The sequence below is a fragment of the Homo sapiens genome, chromosome 13 (assembly GCF_000001405.40).
Source record: "Homo sapiens chromosome 13, GRCh38.p14 Primary Assembly".
Lineage (NCBI taxonomy): Eukaryota > Metazoa > Chordata > Mammalia > Primates > Hominidae > Homo > Homo sapiens.
The window spans coordinates 49687895-49702122 of record NC_000013.11 but is presented as its reverse complement, the minus strand read 5'-3'; the positions used below and the strand labels follow the sequence as shown (position 1 = coordinate 49702122).

The 14228-nt window shown below is 42.3% G+C and overlaps 2 protein-coding genes across 6 annotated transcripts in view, besides 3 other annotated features; both read left to right on the top strand.

Annotated features, from left to right (window-relative positions):
• KPNA3 (karyopherin subunit alpha 3) overlaps positions 1-2803 on the top strand; it is a 93363-nt gene extending 90560 nt beyond the window's left edge. For both annotated transcript variants that reach the window (NM_002267.4, XM_017020561.2), the window contains exon 17: positions 225-2803. In NM_002267.4, the coding sequence (NP_002258.2) occupies positions 225-323 (99 nt within the window). In that variant the 3' untranslated portion in view covers positions 324-2803. The remainder of the gene's footprint in view (positions 1-224) is intronic.
• Positions 10345-11342: an enhancer, noted in NCBI's record as "H3K27ac-H3K4me1 hESC enhancer chr13:50264917-50265914 (GRCh37/hg19 assembly coordinates)". NCBI's record gives its function as "activates a minimal SCP1, AML or CMV promoter by ChIP-STARR-seq in naive H9 embryonic stem cells {active_cell/tissue: H9 hESC(naive)}" and the evidence as "EXISTENCE:reporter gene assay evidence [ECO:0000049][PMID:30033119]".
• Positions 10512-10711: a silencer, noted in NCBI's record as "silent region_5345". NCBI's record gives its function as "represses an Ori minimal core promoter by ATAC-STARR-seq in GM12878 lymphoblastoid cells {active_cell/tissue: GM12878}" and the evidence as "EXISTENCE:reporter gene assay evidence [ECO:0000049][PMID:35858748]".
• Positions 10636-14228, top strand: part of EBPL (EBP like) — a 30814-nt gene continuing 27221 nt past the window's right edge. For 3 of the 4 annotated variants that reach the window (NR_103803.1, NR_103802.1, NM_001278636.1), the window contains exon 1: positions 10636-10869. Coding sequence is in view for 2 of the 4 variants with exons in the window: in NM_001278636.1 (NP_001265565.1) it covers positions 10699-10869 (171 nt within the window). In the remaining 2 variants the exon portion in view is untranslated. The remainder of the gene's footprint in view (positions 10870-14228) is intronic. The other variant, NM_032565.5, reaches the window with a different exon arrangement.
• Positions 10742-10881: a silencer, noted in NCBI's record as "silent region_5344". NCBI's record gives its function as "represses an Ori minimal core promoter by ATAC-STARR-seq in GM12878 lymphoblastoid cells {active_cell/tissue: GM12878}" and the evidence as "EXISTENCE:reporter gene assay evidence [ECO:0000049][PMID:35858748]".

Sequence of the window (14228 nt, the reverse complement as noted above, 5' to 3'; positions counted from 1 at the left end):
AATAAATCTAGGTCCCAGATACAGAAACTTAACAATGCAGTTTCGAAACGTGTTAAATTTTAAATTGTTAAATTTCTTAATAAAATTATTGATTTACTCGAATATTTTTAGTTGGTTAAAGCATTCACATAGAATTATTTGCTAAGAGGTAAAAAGTCAATTCCACTTACATCATAATGTATAGTATCATAACCTAATAAGGATTTTTTTCTTGTTTTTTACAGATTGATGAAGATCCCTGCCTCATTCCTGAAGCAACACAAGGAGGTACCTACAATTTTGATCCAACAGCCAACCTTCAAACAAAAGAATTTAATTTTTAAATTCAGTTGAGTGCAGCATCTTTCCCACATTCAATATGAAGCACCACCAGATGGCTACCAAATGATAAGAACAACAGCAACAAAAGGCTCCAAAACACACATGCCTCTTTGTTTTGATGCTTCTAAAGCAAGCCATGTCTCAGTCACTTTGCAGTTGCCAAAAGTCACTATCACATGGACTGTAAATGCATATGCATGATTTCCTAAACTGTTTTAGAACTCTCCTTAACAATCTCAACTACCCTATTTTTCCCTGTTCCCTGGTGCCACAGGCTGACAACTGCAGTCTCCAGTTTAGAATAAATATTCCATAGTGGTGACATGTCAGCTGCCCACTGATACTCCTTTGGAAAATGGTGCGCTGTGGATCAAGACACTTTGGTATGATGCATATACAAGTTGGAAGACTAAAGAGGTGCAGTGTGATCTGAGCCTCCATCATTGTCCTCCACAAACATATTTTCATATTCTTTATGTGGAAGAATAGATTTTAAAGTACAAGCCAAATGATTTTCATTGGTGGAACTGACACAAAAAAAGTAACTTAAAAACAAGAAACTTGGTTATTGAATAAACAGATAAGTTTAAAAAAAAAAAAAAACTACTTCATCTACCAGTAATTGATGTGTTTATTATCTGCCTCAGAAGCCAGGGTTGGAGGAAGAACTTTAGATATGGATATTAATGCTTTTGCCATTATACCTAATTTTTGAGAACAGCAAGCCCTATTTGACCACTCTCTTCAGCCTGTGTGTTCCTGCTGTTTTGAAGTAATCAAATGCTGTGCATGGTATTTTACCTGAGCTGCAACCTGTTATGGACTTGAACTTCTGTTTAAGTTGAAAGCAAGAGTCCCTGAGTATAAAGGAAAAACAGCAAAACAAAAAGCAAACAAAAAAAAACTGCAAAAGTCTAAAATACCCATTGGTGATGTTTTTTAAAAAAATCTTGCTTTCAGCTTTCAGGAGTTAATATTCTTTGTTTTAATTTGATAATTGGATATGGTTGATTTATATTGGGTTTAAACTGTGGAGCTTTCATGTTTACTGTAATTTAGTCTTAAAATATTTTTTACTTAGTAACCAGTGCTTTTGATAATGTGGTTGGCAACAAACCAGCAACTATTTAGAAGTGTCATAAGAGTTCATTCTTTGAGTATTGGGAAAGTTAATTCAGATCCTACTCAAAAAGCATCTTCACATATTAAAAGATTCAGACAGGGATCTGTGTAGAGGAGTAATTTGCAGTTATTTAACATAAACCTGATTTGCAGTGATCTCTAAGTAATTCTGCAAAATCCGGTATTACTATGTCAAGTTATTGCTTTTGGTAAATTGTCTGACCCAGTTATTAATGAAAGAATATGGATTTAAAAATTTTTAAACTAAATAATTTGTGCTGTCACAGAAATGGTATTGTTGCTCTTGTTTACTGGGTATAATTTCCCAATGCATTGATGTGAAGGGATAGAAAATCTAAACTAATTTAGTTATCCATTGGGGGGTGTATTTACTGTGATGAAGATGAGACAGATGCCATCAGAGCTTTGTGAATCAGCTGGGGTGTTTTCACTGATAAACAACACATAGCAGGTGTGCATTCATTACAAATATATGTATCTGCCAAGGTGGAGCCACTTTAAAGAGTGAGTTTTGTCTTGTATCTAAAGTGGATACAAGCGTATGTTTAAACTGCAAGATTTTTACTTGCTAGAGAATCTGTTTTAATATAGTGGTTTGGCCTCTGATTATTTATAGGTTTTATAAATTTTAGAATCAATTTCTCTTTAAGGTGGCTCAGATTTTTCAACTCTTGTGCACATAAAATTGAGTTGAAGTTCATTGTGCCTTTTTTTCTTTATCCAAATTTTGAGTTAAAGCTTCATATGGTAACTGCATCCTGTTCGGACACTATAGTCTAAATTTTTGAAACTGTGTGGTGTTCGCTAAAAGTAGGAATAACAACGTAAAAGCTAATTAAGGTCACAAACTTCGGTGAAACCCTTAAAAGTCCAAATCTTCTTGATATTGTGAACCGTACCCCTTCCAGTTTAGTTTCTTCTGGACTTTCCTTACTTAACTGACAGTTACCTTTTAAAATTTGCACACATTATGATTAAAATTGGGCCTCTACTGTGATGATTCCTATTTCCTCTCATGTTTTAAAGTGCAAACTAACATTTAAGTGAACATTAGCATCAAGTAGTGCAGACACTTGTATGCATTTCCTTGATTCAATTTGTGACCTTACCAGTTTTGAATTGGAATTGCACCATTTCGTAGATAAAGGAAACTAAGTATATTGCTGCACTTTTAAGTTTTCAAAACAGTGTTTAAAAATTGCATTGTTATTTTTTTTTAAACTCAGTTTAAAAAGACTAAAACGTTCTTTCAAAAGAGGCATCTAAATGTGTTCCTAATTTTGTATATGGGCTTAGGTTTTGTAACCAATAAAAAAAGCTGCTATCAAATATGATAAAACATTGAAAACTTATTTCTGAAAATAACTTGTTTGTTTTCTGTATGGTTAAATTTAAATTTGGAATTATTTTTTTAAAAATCACAATGGAGGTAAATCATGAATTACTCTTTTACTGTATTTTAATATCTCCTTCACACCATATTACTGAACTAAACTGGAGTCTGTTCACCTGGCACAGTTAGGCCAAACATTCATAGCAAGGTTTTGCAGCAGGAAAAAGGAGGGCATTTATCTGCAGGCAGGGCACCAAACAAGAAAAATGAGGCAGCTCACACTTAAGACCCAACTTCCCTCATGGCTTTACAAGCAAGGGTTTTTAAAGGCAGGGGTGAATTTCAGGAAAGCATAAATTACAGGCAGAATTGTACATCAGTACACAATGGTTTGGCCTAGAAAGGTGGGCTGTCTTGAAGCCGAGGGTGGCAGGGGGTGACTTATAGGTCATAGGTGAATTCACAGATTTTCTTATTTGCAGTTGATTAAGGAATCAAAGCTTTGTCAAAAAACTTGGGGTCAGCAGAAAAGAATGCTAAGTCTGCCCCATGGGCGTGACTTCCTATAGGCCCCTCAGGAAGACATTTAGAACAAAGAATGGCAGTCAGAGCTCAGTCCTCAGTTCCCCCTTCCCTGGCCAGTGGACCATTTGGTGGGGGTCCAGGTGTCTGAAGAACAACTCAGGGACATATGTTAAGATGTTATCTTTAGTTTCTATAAGGAACCAAACATCCTGTGACTTCCTTGGCTGTTGTTTTAAGCTACTATTACTCTCTTGCTTATCAAGTTTCTTATTTATTCATAGGGCTAGCTAGGTGCCTGGAATTTCCCTTGAAGGAACTCAAAATTTTCCTTTATTTCCATGCTTGGTGGGGCACCTGGCAGGCCCTTAAGAGGGGTTCCTCTTCCATCTCAACTCTAACAAACCAGGATGATCGATAATAATGCTAGATTTGAGACTATTCTGTGACAAATAAGAATTGCCAAAATCTATATTAGTTTCCTAAGCTGCCATTACAAAGTACCACAAACCAGGTGGTTTCAGACAATAGAAATGTATTGTCATCCACTTCTGGAGACCAGAAGTCTGAAATCAAGGTGATGACTGAGCCATGCTCTGTCTGGGGACTTCGATGGGGATGATCCTTCCTTGCCTCTTCCTAGCTTCTGGTGGTTCCTGGCAATCCTTGGCATTCCTTGGCTTGTAGCTGCATCACTCCAGTCTCTGCCTCCGTCATCACATGGCATTCTCCCTATGTGTCTCAGGTTTAAATACTATAACTTAGAAAAAGTCCATTTATTTGAGATGATGGTATGATTGTGACTGATGAAACAAAAACTCAAACTTTAAGACCTGGCTACCCCTTGAAAACATGTAACTATGGAAAATAGTAATCAGAGCAAACCTAAAAGTTTTAACCTGTTAGGTAAAGTTTATGGCACTAAATGAAATCTTGCATTAACTAAAAGAACAAAGGAGCAGCCAAACTTTTGAGTATAGAAATGTTTACTTTTGTATAATGCCACTGCAAATTACTTTTAAAAGAAGTTGGTGTATAAGTAAATGTGATAGTACTCATACAATCTTGCCATCATTTCTTTCAGAAGGGTCATCCTGAAGGGCGTGGTTGGTGGCAGACACCTGTAGCTCCAGCTACTTGGGAGGCTGAGTCAGGAGGATCACTTGAGCCCAGGAGTTTGGGAGCAGCCTGGGCAACATAGCAAGACCCCATCTTTAAAAAAATTCTATTTTTATATGAAAAGAAAATTTTTTAAGAAGCGTCATTCATCCTTTTCAGGGGATTAGTTAATGCGGATAAACAAGTAAACAAGAGCACCTGACATTCATGAATGTCCGTTGTCTTACAGTGATGGTTAATTTTTTAAACCCTAGTTAAACTGGGAAAGTTTACTTAACTCTTTTTGGGGGAAAGGAAATATAATTTCTGTATATGAAGCTGTGAGTATAAATGTTGTTTAGATAGCTAAAAAACAGTGATAGAATGATTCTCCAAAAGTGCTATATACAATGTGTGGGAAAAGGGATGTGGGAATGCAACCTAATGCCACTGTTTGCCCATAAAATCCCTCAACTAACTTAGGCCTAAATTGTTTTTTTGTTTTTTGAGATGGAGTTTCGCTCTTTAGCCCAGGTTGGAGTGCAGTGGCATGACCCACTGCAACCTCTGCCTTCCAGTTTCAAGCGATTTTCCTGCCTCAGCCTCCCGAGTAGCTAGGATTACAGGCGCCTGCCACCACACCTAATTTTTGTATTTTTAGTAGAGACAAGTTTCACTATGTTGGCCAGGCTGGTCTCAAACTCTTGACCTCAAGTGATCCGCCTGCCTCGGCCTCCCAAAATGCTAGGATTACAGGCGGGAGCCACAGCGCCTGGCCTAAATTGGGGTTTTTTAAACCCTGCACTATTGACATTTTTGGCTGGATAATTCTTTGTTGTGTGTCATCTGCCCTGTGCAATGTAGGATGTTTAGTAGTATCCCTGGGCTCTACTCACTAGATAGCAGTAGCACCTCTCTCCTCTCCCCAAGTTAAGACAACCAAAAATGTCTCCAGACATTGCCAAACATCTGGGGGCCCAAAACCATCCCTGATTGTAAACCACTGTCCTAAATCAATTCCTATAGAAAACTCCACTCAAATGAGACAGCCTAAATCATGACTTTTTTGTTGTATGAACAGTCCCAGGCTTTCCTCAGATGCATAAGATGAAGAAAGGAGACACAAATGTGCCTTTTCTTCATTCTGAGTTTTAGGAAAAATTGAAGGCAGGCCTAACCTAATTTCCCAAATCATCTGTAGGAAACTCCAGGTAGTACTGAACATCTATTTCAAGGGACTTGGGATAAAGAAATAGAAATATGGAGCAACTAGTTACCTCTTAAATTTATCCTGTGGCTAAAAAACAGGGTTGTAAAACAATCAAATGTGTTAATTGCCCAAATCTCAACACCCTATGGCAGTGTTTTTCAAACACTTGTAGTTGAAAATCTTTAAGTTATCTAGGGAAAACTGGAGTTGTACTAGAAAATCATAGCATAGTTTGAAGATCACTTGAAGCATTGTTGAGAGATTGGCCTCATCAGAAAACTTACAATCATCTATTAAATTATTAAAAACAGAAACTATGGCCGAGCCATGCCATAAAGAAAGTATTCTCTGCAGGGAATTTCTTCTACAGCATCCCCCTTCCCTACCCTAGCAAATTGCCATACACCTTCTTGAGGAATTCCCTTAAACTGTGGTACCCAAAGATGCATGGGGCCTTGTGCCAAATAGTGTGAGAAACCATAAGATAAGGAACACTTTCGTGGGACAGCAACTTTACTAGGTGGTAAGTAAAAGTTTTATTGGTAATACAAGCCAAAGTGTTATAAAGTATACATTTTACATATTTTAAACATAAAATCTGATTTTTGAGGCAGGGTATTTTATGGAAACATTCCTGCAGGAGTAAGTTAGAAGAGCTTGAGAAACAAGGTACTCATTTTGAGGGAGCTTGTATTTATTGGCTAGCTTTGCTTGCTACAAGATCCTTTCTTAACCTGGGTGCAGTGGCCCACACCTGTAATGCCAGCACTTTGGGAGGCCCAGGTCAGTGGATCACTTGAGCCCAGGAGTTTGACACCAGCCTGGGCAATATAGTGAGACCTCATCTCTACAAAAAAAATAAATAAATAAAATAGCTGGGCCTGGCGGTACATGCCTGTAGTCCCAGCTACTTTGGAGGCTGAGGCTGCCATACACTGGACCCGAGATCGTGCCACTGCACTTCAGCCTGGGCCACAGAGTTGAGACCCTGTCTCAAAAGAGAAAGAAACTTAAATTTCCATCATTGTAAATTAACTGTTTTTGATTGGGAGTAGACTTTGTTATTTCCAGATAGCAGAGGAGACTCATCCATTTTTTAAATCAGCTTTCTTTTACTCGAACACCCCTTGCATTTCATCCATTCTCATTATAAAGTCATTGCTGGACCTGGTTCCTGTCAGCGTGATGTACTCCAAGGATTCCAACAATAAGGAGTGTGGTGTGACTGGTTTCTGAGTACTTTGGAATGAATGGGAACATTCCATTATCTGGACTTTTGATTCTATTAATGTGGGGGGAGTCTTTCAGTTATTTTACCAGCTTCATCATAATTAGGTTTGTGATCAAGTCACACCCTCTTTATCATCAGCTCTCTTTAACCCAAATCGTTGGGCATCTACCCTTTTCAACTCTAAACATAAGAATAAATTTCATATTTACTTCAGCCTAGTTTTTCTCATGAGATCACATTCTACATATGTATCCTTTCGATGTCTTCAGTCTTATATAAATAAGAATTCTGACTAAGCCTTTAGAAACATTCGAATACTGAATACTCTGTCCCGTGCCAGGTACTGTGCTATGGCACAGGATACTTGTAAAAATAACAGGAATAAAAAAAAAGACAAGTTTTGACAAATGTTAGAAAAAAAGAGGTATACAATGATACACATACTAGAGGAAATTGGCTACTGAGAAAGGTGATAACCAGGCTAATGTTGAGCCCTTAAAAAGTGCCAGCCAAAATTTCACTGATCGTGGTGAAAAGGCAGGAGTTTATTGGGCACATTGACTGGAAAAGCTTTCCAGCAGTGGGAAGAGTCTGTACAAAGCCTTGTGGGAAGCACCATGGGGTATTTGAGGAAGTGAAAGAAAGCAAGTATAGCTAGATGAAAGATTATAATGGAGAGGAGGATTAATAGGGGAATGGGAAAGGGCTAAAGAGATAGGGAGGGGCCAGACCCCACAGTCTAGTAAGTCATAAAAAGGATTTTGGTATTCTATATGAAGATCATCATTAAGCAAGAGGGATAATAGATTAATAAAGATCACTAGTTGGTAAGGCTAAGGACAGAAAACGTCCTTTGGATTTAGTGATGTAGAGGTCGCTGGTCACATTAGTGAGTGAAGCACAGACGAGATGGTGAACAGGTCCATGAAATGCATGGAATCAAGAAATACTTGGCTGCTGAGGAGGAGTTGGTGATGCCTTAGATGCCAAGTTTGGGGAGAGAGAAGTATCGGGGATGATTTCTAGGTTTCCGGGTTGTAGTAACTGATGAGTGGAAGTAACATGAGATAGGAAGGAGAATCAGACATTGGGGTGGAAAGTGATGAGCTCAGTTTGGGTTATATTGAGACATCCAAGTGACTGTCAAGTAGGGCAGTTGGAAATACTGGTCTGGAGTCCAGAGAATAGGACCAGGCTAGAGATTTGAGTTCTCTGCAGGTTTTGCTGGTCATTAAAGCAGAGGGTAAGGATGAGACTGCCTGGATTTGGGGTCTGGAGTGAGAACAGGGCCGAGGACTGGGTTGTGGAGCTGCAGCATTCACTAGGCATTTGTAGTGGAAGATGCACTTGCAAAGGAAACAGAATGGCTAAGGAGGCTGTATTCTCAGAAAACCAAAGGAAAAATATTTCAGTGCTGGGATGCTGCTGAGAAGTAAACTACACTAAGAAAATGAACTGTTCTTGGGGTTCAGTGATGTGGAGGCCAGTAGTCACCTTAGTGAGAGCTATATCAGTGTGATAAGGCAGAAACCAGAGTAGAAAGGACTGAGGAGCAGGGTCAAGACATGAAGACAGGGGATCTGATCAGTTTTTTCATTAAGTTTCTATTTTGCTCTGAAGGGGAGGTGGGCCGAGTGGTCCCTAAAGGATGATAAGTTAGTTACAGGACAGGATCCAGAGCATAGGTGGCTAGATTGACCATACTCAGTCGCCAGTTATTTAACTGAGCAGCTAATATATGCCAAACTCTGTAATAGGTGCCAGGGATACAGCAATAAAAAAGCTAGCCACAACCCCTGGCCTTGAAGACTTACATTATAGTGGCAGGAGATTAGCAATAAGTGTGTAAACAAGGATCATTCTATCTGGTGTTAACTGCTATAAAAAATGGTATAGGAAGTGACTAAGGGAAAAATTTCTTGTGTTCAGTGCCAGCATTTTTTTTAATAACTGTAAAATACACATAAAATTTGCCATCTTAACCATTTTTAAGTGTGCAGCTCAGTAAAGTATGTTCACGTTGTTGTGCAACCAATCTCCAGAACATCATCTTGCAAATCAAACTATCCGAATAAATAACACTCCACTTTTCCCCGCGCCCCCCCCCCACTCCCGCCCCGCCCCACCCCTGGTAACCATCATTCTATTTTGTTTCTGCAAATTGATTATTTTAGATATTTCCTGTAAGTGGAATCATAAGTATGTTTTTGTGACTGGCTTATTTCACCGACCTCATAGGGTTGTTGTGATGTTAAATAATGTAGGTTTGTTCCCGGACCAAACTGGGGGTTGGGCAGCCCAATAATGAGGTGCAGATGAACTGGGGAAGAAGAGTTTTTATTTCTGCAACCGGTTACAGGGAGAAGGTCTGGAAATTATTGCCAGACCAACTCATAATTACAAAGTTTTTCCAGAGCGTATATACCTTCTAAGCTATATGTCTACGTGTAAGAGTGCATTCATCTAAAGACGTAAGTGATTAACAACTTCTAATCCTGAAGACCTTCCTCTGGAGCCTCAGTAAATTTACTTAATCTAAATAGGTCTGGGTGCTGGGATGATTACCCTTATTTTGTCTCTTGCTAAATCATGGAGGCTTGTGGAATTCCTCCAGACTCCCAATAAACTTGTTTTTGGAGGCCTGGGGAGTTTCTTCAGACCCCCAATAAAACTTGTTTAATCCTAAACGGGTCCTGTTAAAAATTCCTTAGTTATCTTGTCATGCTTCAAGGCCCAAGAAAGGCCTAGGCAAAACTCTTGGTGGGCTTTTGTTACATTCCAGACTTTGGTATATGGGCACTGACTCTTTCAGCTTTTAATTTTTTTTTTGTTTTTTGAGACGGAGTCTCGCTCTGTTGCCCAGGCTGGAGTGCAGTGGCGCGATCTCGGCTCACTGCAAGCTCCGCCTCCCGGGTTCACGCCATTCTCCTGCCTCAGCCTCCGGAGTAGCTGGGACTACAGGCGCCCGTCACCACGCCCGGCTAATTTTTTGTATTTTTAGTAGAGACGTGGTTTCGCCGTGTTAGCCAGGATGGTCTCGATTTCCTGACCTCGTGATCCGCCCGCCTTGGCAAAAAGTGCTGGGATTACAGGCGTGAGCCACCGCGCCCGGCCTCAGCTTTTAATATTTAATTTAACCACTCAGTGCTGAAGCAGTTGTGATGGAGGCCTGCGATAGTGAAACCTGGCCTGCCACAGGTTAAACGCATCTATCGCCAAGCCAATAGGACTTACCGCTCCTCTCACCCACCCTTCTACTTTTCTGGATTTTTAAGAAATGGAAAGATTGTCAGAGTAGGCCATAAAGGCTTTAAGCCGGCTGGTGGCTGAAAACTCCCTTGGCCCCCAGCCTCCCTGGTAAGGCTTGCTGCAGCCTAATTAAAACCTTTTGCCCCTAAAATTCTGCCCCGGTCTACTGGCAAAATTTCCACTACCTAGGCTTCACTTTGTGGCTTAAAGTTTGAGCCTTGTTAAAAGCGAAACAACATCAAAAGGTGTGGCCCTATTACCAATCCTTTGGGCTCGGTTTGGGAACAGGTTTGGTCGAGGCGGTTGCGCAAGTTGGTGAGCACGTTCCTTCTACGGAACCTCCATGGGCGGCACCTGGCAAAACCACCGGACTCAGCAGGCTGGCCAGGGTGCGAGGCGGGCACGGAATCCTCGCTCTGGCCCCGACCCGGCCGGGGAGCCCCGTCCCTCCCCGGACCGCCTTGGCCAATCAGCTCCGCTCCTCCTTGGCCATCCGGCTCCGCCCCTTCCCGGCCAGCCCCGCCCCGTCGTTTCTCTCCCTGCTTTCCTCTGCCGCATGGTCCTGGGCCGTTGGCGTCGGAAGCCTGAAGCATGGGCGCTGAGTGGGAGCTGGGGGCCGAGGCTGGCGGTTCGCTGCTGCTGTGCGCCGCGCTGCTGGCGGCGGGCTGCGCCCTGGGCCTGCGCCTGGGCCGCGGGCAGGGGGCGGCGGACCGCGGGGCGCTCATCTGGCTCTGCTACGACGCGCTGGTGCACTTCGCGCTGGTAAGTGCCATCGCCTAGACCCTGCACTCCCCATCCCAGAGAGTGGGAGCGGGGGCGGCAAGGCGGGGTGAGGGGGTCCTGCGGCTTTTTGCAGCGAGCTGGCCGCCCCTCCCCCTGCTGCAGGAAGTCTGTTAGCTGAGAGGCGCCTGGAGGCCGCGGCGGCCGGAGTTCTGATTCCCAGGTCTGTGAACAGAGCGCAGCTTACCTTGTGCTGCCGATTCCTCCACCAAACTTTAAAAAAATTCTGTACGTGCTATGTTAGTTTAGAAGATACCTCAGCTTCCTCGGCTTTGTAACCTGCACGTAACTGTTGAACTGGACATAATTGAGAGTAGAATTGAGGTCATTTTTAAATGCCCCAGAGGGGGCAAGGAGAGATGCTTGCTCCGGAGGCAGCAAGGCTATTGTCGCAAAACCCGAAGCCTTTGCCAAGACAAACGAAACACCCGTGTCTAATGTGTGCCAGGCGCATTACTGAGTTTAAAATTTCAGATCTTTACAGCATCCATAAATTAGTTATTATTGTTCCCCATTTTACAGAGGTGAAGGTAGGCGCTGCAAAATTAGGTGACTTTCCAGTGCCACACAGCTGGCATGATTCTGAGGCAGTCTAGTCTGGCTCCCAAGTTTGCACTCTGTGTATCAGTCGAGGTCTTAGGAAATATGTGTCCTTAGAGATTCAACCCATTTTATAAAATAGCCAGGAAGGTTGTGTTTAAGGCATTTATATTGAAATGCCCCGCCCCCCACCACACACGCGCACGCACACACACACACACACTTTTAAGTTTTTTTTAAACTATGCCCAAGTATCAGTTTGTTTTTTTTTTTTTTTGTAAAGTTGACCTTGTTTAACTCTAGACACACCTGTGGCTAATGTGAAGCCAAAGTCAGTAGTATTGAGAAAGCAAGCCGAGTTTTGGGTAATCATCGAGTTCTGTAAATGTTTACGGGTTGGCTTTGTGCCCATGACTGATGTTGCTGGAATTCTTTTTATTCTGATAATCAACATGTAGAGATAAGGGACAGTGAATGTTTCTCTCAACTCCTTTATTTATAGAATTCTTTTTTTTTTTTTTTGTCTTTTTTTTTGTTGTTGTTCTTGAGACAGAGTCTAACACTGTTGCCCAGGCTGGAGTGTAGTGGCACTATCTCGGCTCACTGCAACCTCCGCCCCTTGGGTTAAAGCTATTCTCCTGCCTCAGCCTCCCGAGTAGCTGGGATTACGGGCGCCCGTCACCACGCCCAGCTAATTTTTGTGTTTTTAGTAGAGATGAGGTTTCACTATGTTGGCCAGACTGGTCTCAAACCCCTAACATCAGATGATCTGCCCACCTTGGCCTCCCAAAGTGCTGGGATGACAGGCGTGAGCCACCGCCACCGCCACCAGCCGAGAATTGATTTTTAAGCTATCACTTGAACACAAGGTTTCCCACAGAACAAGGGAGATAAAGCAGATTGCTAGGCCCGGTTAGAAAAAATGTATAACAAAATGTATAACATAACAAAAATGTTGCTAGGCCCAGTGAGAGAAAACTGTGTAACATATTGGCTGGGTATAACTGTATATAGCATATCAGAATGTATATATATAAAAATGTATAACATATCGGACACAGTGGCTCATGCCTGTAATCCCAGCATTTTGGGAGGCTGAGGCGGGTGGATCACGAGGTCAGGAGTTCAAGACCAGCCTGGCCAACATGGTGAAACCCCGTCTGTACTAAATATACAAAAATTAGCCAGGTGTGGTGACGGTGCCCATAATCTCAGCTACCCGGGTGGCTGAGGCAGGAGAATTGCTTGAACCTGGAAGGTGGAGGTTGTAGTGAGCCATGATCAAGCCACTGCACTCCAGCCTGGGCAACAGAGCAAGACTCTATCTTGGGAAAAAAAAGAAAAATGTTTAACATACCTTAGACAAACAAAAAGCTGTAAAAATACTTAAACTATATGCGTGTGTTCACCACTTGGTTTAAGACTGTTTACTTTTCAAGCTCAGGTTGTTACAGGTAACACGACACACACCTCCTTTTGTGCCATTACCTACCCCAGCTGCAAAGTAGTCCACTGTGTGAATACACCATACCTTAGTTCTCCAAGTCTAAGACCCACATTTTTTCACATATTAGAAGAATCAACTACATCATGTAACTACTGTAGGCCATTTGATTGATATTTTAATGTCTCTAAATTGGGATGTATCTTATATTTGATGAATACGATCACTTAACCAGCCCATATTAGTGGACACATTTTTCTGTCATTACAAACAATGCATCTACCAACGTCTTTGTACATGTGTCTCAGAGATCAGTGGGGAGAGCACTTGAATTAAGCAGTTGAGGCTGCAAGAAAATACATGCCCATGTTGTCTTTGCTTGGGAGTTTATTGCAAGAATACCCAGAAGTGTGGGACAAGCTAAGACTAAGATGTAGAGCTTAGGGGAGAACCAAAATTAAAACTCACTTGTTCACTAGAAGATGAGTTGCCTCTCCTTAACCCGACACTTCTTTTTTTTTTTTTTTTTTTTTGAGACGGAGTCTCGCTCTATTACCCAGACTGGAGTGCAGTGGCGCAATCTCGGCTCGCTGCAAGCTCCGCCTCTCGGGTTCACGCCATTCTCCTGCCTCAGCCTCCTGAGTAGCTGGGACTACAGGCACCCGCCACCACGCCCGGCTAATTTTTTGTATTTTTTGTAGAGACGGGGTTTCACCATATTAGCCAGGATGGTCTCGATCTCCTGACCTCGTGATCTACCTGCCTCGGCCTTCCAAAGTGCTGGGATTACAGGCGTGAGCCACTGCGCCTGGCCACCCCCTGACACTTCTTAAAGAGAGGAGCTCTGTAGGTTTTTTGGCTGCCATCAAATTGAAAGCTATCCTGTTGGACAGTTTCAAGCCAAGCATTCCCAGGGGCAGTTCATTTCCCAGATGTCCAACCAGAGTGCAGTCACCTTGGGCCCCAGCACTGGTCATCAGTTCAGCTCGTTATGACTACAGCAGAGGGCAGGCTGACTTCCCATCAGCCTACCTGGAAGGAGCCATGGCAACATACTAGAAGAAGGAAATGGTGGGGTCACCATTCTGAGGTCGCTGTGGGCAGCCTAGGCACTGGTGCTTCATGGATAAAATTTTATCTCTTCTGCAATCTATGTATAGCATTCAGGCATGGCCAGAAACATGAGGCAAGATATGAATGCCTGTGTATGGAACACATCCTGTAGTCCAGATTGACAGGAGCACAGGGTTTACATAAGAAGTGGGAGGACCAGCTGGAAAGGTGACAGGTAAGAATTGTATTCTGTAGTGAGAAGCCACTGAAGGATTTCAAGCAGGGAAGTCACGTGGCCAAAGCA